Source organism: Homo sapiens, chromosome 15, assembly GCF_000001405.40.
Source record: "Homo sapiens chromosome 15, GRCh38.p14 Primary Assembly".
Taxonomy (NCBI): Eukaryota; Metazoa; Chordata; class Mammalia; order Primates; family Hominidae; genus Homo; species Homo sapiens.
Genome location: NC_000015.10, coordinates 20,058,404 through 20,066,537, shown reverse-complemented (window position 1 = coordinate 20,066,537; position 8,134 = coordinate 20,058,404).

Genomic DNA, 8,134 nt, shown 5'->3' with positions numbered 1-8,134 from the left:
GGAAAAGGGAAAGAATTTGGGGATAGAGGGACCACGGGACATGGAATCGTTTGCTGTAATTTCCTATGTGCTGGAGGCAGATGTTTGCATTCTCATTTCTTGGACATCAACTGGGTCTTTCACAGCTGTGCTGGGCACAGCCGGTGGAGTCCAGGGTTCCTCACAGGATTTCTCCCTGGTGTGACTCTTCCCAGCACAGTGCAGCCACGAAGGCATCCCTCATGATGGTTACCATATTTTAGAAATTTCCTGCACAGCACACAGTGCCAGTAGGATGACAGTTCTCTTCACAGTTTCAGTGAAATCCGAGAGATGAGGAAAAAGAACTGTGATGTCACATATGCTCATACAGAATCTTAAACATCTCCATTGTGCTTGCATCTCAGGTGCCTCAGGCCACTCCGTAGCCCAGATATAAAGCAGAGGTTCCATGGCTCAGATGCTGTTCATTAAGGAAAGGAAACCCTGGGTGATGATTCCCTCCCCATATGCCCTCCTTGGTTGCATATGCCCTGAGGCTGGGCCCTGGGGGCCCCTGCCATCCAGGTCCCAGGCACCCCTGCAGTGAGGTTTGTGTCTGGGCCCACACTGGGATCTCCTCTCTGTGTCTCTTACACAGTCATACAGGGCTGTGTCCTCAGTAGTCACAAAACTCAGCTGCAAGGAGAACCGGATGTATCCTGAATGCATCTCTGGAGATGGATACTCAACTTTGATGGTAGGGATAAACTATATGCTCCCTCCATAACAGAGGTGAGCAATCCATTGCATTCCAACCTTTCCCTGCAGGTCGGGGGATCCACCCCCCCTGAGTAACCCCTGGTAACGGAGCAGCGGGAAGCAGCATGGGACACGGAGATTGCCTGCGAGGGCTTTGCCCCTCCTACGGCTGCACCTGGGACAGGACACCTGGGAACAGAGAGGATTGCAGGGAGCTGTGTGCTCAGATGCAGCACCCCCATATCGTCACGTCTGACTCTTTGAGGCTTTCCCATCTGGAAGCTGCCACAGATCCAACGTGCAACATGAGGAAGTTAATAAGGGTGCATTGCATCCAGGACTTTGCTAACTGAGGTTATAGCTGTTCTTGCCAAATGGGGGAGGTGGGTAACTCTGTAAGTTGAGGGCTGCATTAATTTATTTCACTATAGTCATCATTTTACTGTATATATTTATTCCATATCATGTTGTATGTCTTAGATATACATAATACAATTTATTTTTTGAAAAAGAAAATGTAATTGTCAATCTCTACAATGAAATAACAGAATGTCACAAAAATAAAATGTCATCTTAAAAAGTATTCTTGTTTTCAGCCATTGCTTACAAATCCCAAAATAATAAAAATAACCATTCCCCATATATTTGGATTCATCTCAGGCAAAACATTAGAAAACAGCCAGATTCATCCATGTAATCTTATCCTTCCTACCACGGATGTGTGTCTCTCTGAAGATGTGACACAGCTCTAGTCATGAGGACAGGAGAGTTGGTCGATTGAGGCATTTCTGATCCTTCCGAAGAGCATTTCAGAGGGAATGCCCTCTCTTCATCCAGCCCATCACTATGTCGGAATGTGACTTTTAAAACTGCTGTCATCATGCCCATAAATAAAGCCTCATAAATAAAGGCAATAAAAGTTGCCTTTCCTTCAATTTGTACTGAAATAGCCACATATAATAATGGAAATAATCTTGAAGTAAAAATTAAATTAAACCAAACAGATTGAAACATTAACCTGAACTTCATGTGAGTTCAAATTTAGTGTGTAGTGAGTAGTGAGACAGGCAGGAGGCGTGGCAGAATATCAAGCTGTGCTCACCCCGTCTCATCTTAGTGAGGAAACTGCCTGCATATTGCTTAGGTGTATTACAGACTCCCATTGGTAATGTGAGCCTCACAATATGTGCTGATGGATCACATCTCAAAACTGAAACTGCATGTTATGGAGAAGGAGGTACCATCACCATCAGCTGAAGTAAACCCACGCTGAATAGTAGAATTTAAGCCAGTGACTAGAAGGTGTAAGCTAGCCAAGTCTCAAAAATAGACAAAGAGACTGATATCTAGAAGGTAAGTGTTGAAATAGTGCATGATTTGGGGATGTTTTCAGGGAAAAAGAAGACTTGATGAAACATACCCCAATACTGGACAAGAAGGAAGGAGATCGACTGTCATTTACAACAACATGGATAGATCCAGAGGACGTAGTGCTAAGTGAAATGAGCCAGACACAAGATAAAAATACAGCAAGTTCTCACTTACATGTAAAATCTTTAAAAATATCAAATCCATAGAAACAGAGAGTGAAATGATGGCTACCAGGGGTGTGGAGAGGTAGGAAATGGGGAGAAATAGGTGAAAGTTAACACATTTGCAGTCACGCAGAAGCTACAGAAGTTAGAGTTTGCAGTTATGCAGACGCTACACAAGAAAGAGCTTGCAGTTATAAAATCAAGAGCTCTTGTGTGCAGCAGGTAGGCTGTAGTTATATTTTATTGTATACTGAACATTTGCTAAAAGAGTAGAATTTAGTTTCTCCTGCTACAAAACGGTAACCATAAAAGGAAATTGATTGGTTAATTTGCTGCTAGGTTGTGGTAACCTTTTTACTATGCATGTGTATATCTAAACACCATGTTGTACACTCTTAATGTACACAGCAGAAAACATTGAAAACAAGTAGAACATAATCATCACCAAAAAAGATGGACAATGTTAAGGAACCTTTAAATACACACCTCCTTTCCCTGTGCTGGCTGATGTGAAGATTGGCACCCACACAAATTAGGTAGTAAGGAAGTGAAAGAGCATACTCCAGCAGATTATTATTCAAAACTAGTCGCTGTAACCTAGGTTATAATCCTATTTAAACATTCAAGTGATCAAGCTCTGGAGGCATTCAGAAAGCCATTACAGAATATGAATGTTTAACTCCTGATTTTAAATTTAAAATAATAGAAAAATCTGGTTGTGTAACTAACTCTGATAATTTCTTTGTTTTTCTTTTTTCTTTTATTTTTATTATACTTTAAGTTCTAGGGTATATGTGCACAATGTGCAGGTTTGTTACATATGTATACATGTGCCACATTGGTGTGCTGCACCCATTAACTCGTCATTTACATTAGGTATATCTCCTAGTGCTATCCCTCCCCCTCCCCCCACACCACGACAGGCCCCAGTGTGTGACGTTCCCCTTCCTGTGTCCAAGTGGTCTCTTTGTTCAATTCCCACCTCTGAGCGAGAACACGTGGTGTTTGATTTTTTGTCCTTGCGATAGTTTGCTGAGAATGTTGGTTTCCAGTCTCGTCCATGTCCCTACAAAGGACATGAACTCATCCTTTTTTATGGCTGCATAGTATTCCATGGTGTATATGTGCCACATTTTCTTAATCCAGTCTATCATTGCTGGACATTTAGGTTGGTTCCAAGTCTTTGCTATTGTGAACAGTGCCACAATAAACATACGTGTGCATGTGTCTTTATAGCAGCATGATTTATAGTCCTTTGGGTATATACCCAGTAATGGGATGGCTGGGCCAAATGGTATTTCTAGTCCTAGATCCCTAAGGAATCGCCACACTGACTTCCACAATGGTTGAACTAGTTTACAGTCCCACCAGCAGTGTAAAAGTGTTCCTATTTCTCCACATCCTCTCCAACACCTGTTGTTTCCTGACTTTTTAATGATCGCCATTCTAACTGGTGTGAGATGGTATCTCATTGTGGTTTTGATCTGCATTTCTCTGATGGCTAGTGATGAGGAGCATTTTTTCATGTGTCTTTTGGCTGCATAAATGTCTTCTTTTGAGAAGTGTCTATTCATATCCTTCGCCCACTTTTTGATGGCGTTGTTTTTTTCTTGTAAATTTGTTTGCTAACTCTGGTAATTTATGAAGCTCTCAAGATACATGCTTGGTGGTACCAGATGAGCTCAAGTAGATGTTATCTTGATTTCTCCATGAAACCATGATTTCTCCACGAATCTTGAGGTGTATGGTAATTGGTTATTGTCTCCAATCAACATCTGATGGTAAAATTTAAAGTCACAGCTGTGGTTGTCGTTGCATCAGTTGTGACCAGTCAACAACATCGTGCTGGTAAAAGAGTGATGGTAACCCTGGGGAGAAACCAAAGCTCAAAAATACTTTGAACACAGTTAAAACGATTTAACCCAAGAATCATCCACTTGGAGTTTGGGTATGTGTTATTTATGGTGTGACTACATTCAGAATGGCTTGAAGCATCTCCTTGCCAAAAGGCTACAGGTTTTTGTTTGTTTGTTTGTTTGTTTGTTTGTTTTTGAGATGGAGTTGCCCAGGCTGGAGTGCAATGGCAAGATCTCTGCTCACTGCAACCTCAGCCTCCCTGGTTCAAGCTGTTCTCCTGCCTTAGCCCTCCAAGTAGCTGTGATTACAGGCATGCACCACCACACTCTGCCAATGTTGTATTTTTAGTAGAGACAGGGTTTCTCCATGTTGGTCAGGCTGGTCTCGAACTCCCGACTTCAGGTGATCCGCCCACGCTGGCCTCCCAAAGTGCTGGGATTACAGGTTTGAGCCACTGTGCCAGGCCAGGCTACAGCTCTTAGAGTTACTACAAAGATGTTTGATTTTGTGTTTCAAACAGGAACATCTCAGAGATGTATCCCACTTTATCATGCATTTCTGGTGGTGGGATAGGTTCCTTTTATTGTGCTGTTGAATTTGATTTGCTGGGTTTTGTTGAATTTTGTACCTATACAAATTAGGGATATGAACTGTAGTTCTCTTTTCTTAAATGGCCTTTGCCTGTCTTTGGTATCAGACTGAGAGTGCTCACATAAAAATATTTTGAAAGTGTTCCTTTAACTTTCTAGGAGAGTTTAGAGTTATTAGTTTTAGTTCTTCTTTAAACATTTGGTAGAATTCACTGGAGAAACCACTTGAACTTGATTTTCAAATCTTCTTGATTGGGAGATTTTTGATTGCTGTTTCAATCTCCTTGTTCATTTTTGGTCTCTTCAGGTTTTCTATTTCTTTATGATTCAGTCTTGGTAGAATGTATGTTTTGAGGAATTTACCCATTTCTTCTAGGTTATCCAATGTGTTGGTGTTTATTCAATAATGATTTATAGTCGTCTCCATGTATGAGTCTGTTTTTGCCCTACTATAAATACCTGAGTCAGGGTAATTTATGAAAAAAAAAAAAGAAGTTCTGCAGGCTGTACAGAAAGCATGGCAAGATCTGCATCTGGGGAGGCCTCAGGAAACTCAGTCACGGTGGAAGGTAAAGGAGAACCTCTTCCATGGCTGAAGCAGGAGCAAGAGAGAGAACCGGAGGTGCTGCATGCTTTATTTATTTATTTATTTTTTCTATTATTTAATTAATTATTTATTTTTTCTATTATTTATTTATTTATTTTATTTTTTTCTATTATTTATTTATTTATTTTTTAGACACAGTCTCACTCTGTGGCCCAGGCTGGAGTGCAGTGGCACGATTTCAGCTCACTGCAAACTCCGCCTACCGGCTTCACGCCATTCTCCTGCCTCAGCCTCCTGACTAGCTGGGACTACAGGCACTCCCCACCACGCCTGGCTAATTTTTTGTATTTCTTCGTGGAGACAGGGTTTCACCGTGTTAGCCAGGATGGTCTCCTCCTGACCTCGCGATCCGCCCACCACGGCCTCCCAGAGTGCTGGGATTACAGGCGTGAACCACCGCATCCGGCCACGCTACATGCTTTTAAACAACCAGATCTCAGGAGAACTCACTATCGGACGACAGCACCAAGGGGTATGGTGTTAAACCATGAGAAACCAACCTTCTCCATGATCCAATCACCTCCCGCTGAGCCCCAACCTCCAACACTGAGGATTACAACTGAACATGACATTTGGTTGGGGACACAGATCCAGATCATATCACATCATGATCATTTTTATTTCTGTAGCATCAGTTGTAATGTCTCCTTGATCAGTTCTGATGCTATTTATTTGAGTATTCTTTTTTTGTAGTCTAGCTAAAGTTTTGTCAATTTTGTCTTTTTTTTCAAAAGCCCTTAGTTTGTTGATTTTTCCTATTATTTTTCTGTTTTGTATTTCATTAATTTCTACTCTAATCTTTATTATTTCATTCTAACTTAGGACTTACTTATTCTTTCTCTAAATCCGGAGGTGTAAGATTAATAAGATTAATTTAGGTTCTTTCTCTTCTTTTTTTTTATTTTTCTATTATTTTTTTCAAACTCTTTTTTTTATACTTTAAGTTCTAGGGTACATGTGCACAACGTGCAGGTTTGTTACAAATGTATACATGCACCATATTGGTGTGCTGCACCCATTAACTCGTCATTTACATTAGGTATATCTCCTAAGGCTATCCCTCCCCCCTCCCCCCACCCCATGACAGGCCCTGGTGTGTGATGTTCCCCACCCTATGTCCAAGTGTTCTCATTGTTCAATTCCCACCCATGAGTGAGAACATGCGGTTTTTGGTTTTTTATCCTTGTGATAGTTTGCTGAGAATGATGGTTTCCAGCTTCATCCATGTCCCTACAAAGGACATGAACTCATCCTTTTCTATGGCTGCATAGTATTCCATGGTGTATATGTGCCACATTTTCTTAAGCCAGTCTATCATTGTTGGACATTTGGGTTGGTTCCAAGTCTTTGCTGTTGTGAATAGTGCCGCAATAAACATCGAGTGCAGTGGTGCAATGTCGGCTCACCACAACCTCCACCTCCTGAGTAGTTTGGATTATAGGCATGAGTCACCACACCCAGGTAATTTTTGTATTTTTGTATTTTTAGTAGAGACAGGGCTTCACCATGTTGGCCAGGCTGGTCTTGAGCTCCTGACCTCAAATTATCCACCAACCTCAGCCTCTCAAAGTGCTAGGATTACAGGTGAGAGCCACCATGTCCAGCCCCTTTCTTCTCTTTTAATGTAGGTGGGCATCATTATGAATTTCCCTCTTAGTACTGCTTTTGCAGTATCCCATGTTTCAATGTAGTGCGTTTTCACTGTCATTTATTTCAAAATATTTTCTACATTATCTTTTAAGTTTGCTTAGCTTATACTTCTTTGTAAATTTTCAACTTTTTCCCTATTAGTGATTTCTAGTTTCAATCCATTGTCAGAAATGATACTTGATGCGATTCAGTCTTCTTAATTTTGTTGAGTCTTCTTTGTGACCTAACATGTGAGGTAATCATTCCTCAGCCTTTTGGCTAAGGTCATGTGTAGTACCTAGCACGTGATCTATCCTGAAGAATGTTCCCTGTGCATTTGGGGAGAATGCATGCTCTGCTGGACTTGAATTGAATGTTCTGTATCTATCTGTTAGGTCAATTTGGTCTCTAGTGCTATTCAGGTCTGCTGTTTCCCTACTGATTTTCTGTCTGTATGTTCTATCTATTGATGAACGTGGGGTGTTGAAATCTCCTAATTGTATTGTATTGCTTTCTGTGTCTCCTCTCTGATCTGTAAATGATAGTTTTATATGTCTAGGTACTTTGATGTTGGATGCATGTGTGTGTGTGCATAACTGTATCTTTCTGATAAGTGAAACTTTGTATCACATATAATAATTATATAAGACAAAGATCTTTGTCTTTTGTGAGAGCTTTTTACTTAAAATCTATTTTTTTCTGATATATATGTAGATACTCCCACCTCACTCTCTTTTGGTTAACATTTACGTGAAATGTCTTCTTTCATTCCTTCTTTTCAGTTTCAGTGTATGTGTGTCCTTTAGTCTGACAGTCTTGAGTGATCATCCAGGAGCAAGATGGCGGAATAGGACTCTCCAGTGATGGTTCCCTGCCGGAACATTAATCTGAACAACTATCCACGTCCAAAAATCCTTCACAAGAGCTAAGGAAGCCAAGTGAGAGATCCCCATACCTGGTTACAGCCTAAAAGTAAGAAACGACACATTGAAGAGAATAAGAACAACAGTTCAGCATGACCTGTGTCACTCCTGTCCCAACGCCAGGTAGCATAGTGTGAGGAGCGATGCCGTCTAGTTGGGGGAAAAGAGAAGGAAGGAGCAACCACTGCCATTTTGTTGCCCATTTTCTGGCAGTTTTGAGACTCCTGTCTCCCTTCCTTCCTTCCTTCCTTCCTTCCTTCTTCCCTCCCTCCC